This window comes from Homo sapiens, chromosome 16, assembly GCF_000001405.40.
Source record: "Homo sapiens chromosome 16, GRCh38.p14 Primary Assembly".
In the NCBI taxonomy this organism is placed as follows: Eukaryota; Metazoa; Chordata; class Mammalia; order Primates; family Hominidae; genus Homo; species Homo sapiens.
The window spans coordinates 32289260-32290181 of record NC_000016.10 but is presented as its reverse complement, the minus strand read 5'-3'; the positions used below and the strand labels follow the sequence as shown (position 1 = coordinate 32290181).

Genomic DNA, 922 nt, shown 5'->3' with positions numbered 1-922 from the left:
GGCCCCTTGCAGCTCAGAGGCTGCCCTCTGAGAGTCACCGTCGTGTCGCTTTGGGGAAAAGATGAGCCCGCCCGGTTCCTCTCTGTGCACCTCATGCCTGGGGCTCCGTCCCGTCCTGGGTGGGTTTTCACCTGCACCGCTGGCCCCTCCCCCGGGAGCGTTGGTGGAGCCGGCTTTCTCAGCCAGGAGCCTGTTGCGGGGTCAGCGGCTGGAGCTCAAGGTCGGCTCAGGGGACTTTCTCGTGCTGGAGGTTGGCTGCGGAGCAGCCTGCATTTCTCGGAAAACAGGGCCCAGGGCCTGCTCCACGCCGCTGTCCACGTCTTCACCATCCCCTCGTTGCAGGTTCGAGGCCGAGCTCAGACCTGTGGAGCAGAAGCTGAGTGCGCTGCAGTCCCCGCTGGCCCAGAGGCCCTTCTTCGAGGTGCCCTCACCCCTGGGCGCCGTGGACCTGTACGAGTATGCATGCGGGGATGAGGACCTGGAGCCACTGTGACGCCACCCATGAGAACGCCGCTGCGGGGCCGCTCCACACGTGCCACGGCCACCACTGGGACACCGCCGCTTGTGTAAAAACTGTTGTCTTTTGTGGAAAATGAGTGTGTTTGCATGGAATGATAAATTTTTATTTATTCACAGAAGCGTGTTGATTGCCGCTGTGGGTTCGTGGCTGGACCTGCCTAGAGCTCTGTGCCCGGGGGACATGTAGGGCCGCTCGTGAACAGGACAGGTTCCCACACTGACACCCTCTGGCACTTGCCATTCCCGACTTGACCCGGCCTCAGTTCCAGGGCCTGCATCTTTCTGGAAAGGGTCTGTGTAGGCACAAGGGTGACCGGCGGCTCCCGGGCGCCTTGCCAGTCCTAGACAGGAGCCTCCGCCATGGCCTGTATGAATGTTTTGTGTAAATGTACAAAAGCGTTTC

The 922-nt window shown here is 61.4% G+C and overlaps 1 pseudogene across 1 annotated transcript; it reads left to right on the top strand.

Moving 5' to 3' along the window:
- The first annotated feature begins 200 nt into the window (after positions 1 to 200).
- Positions 201 to 635, top strand: LOC390705 (protein phosphatase 2 regulatory subunit B''beta pseudogene; annotated as a pseudogene). Its single transcript, NR_033866.1, has one exon. The product of NR_033866.1 is annotated as a protein phosphatase 2 regulatory subunit B''beta pseudogene (transcript).
- Positions 636 to 922: the final 287 nt, after the last annotated feature.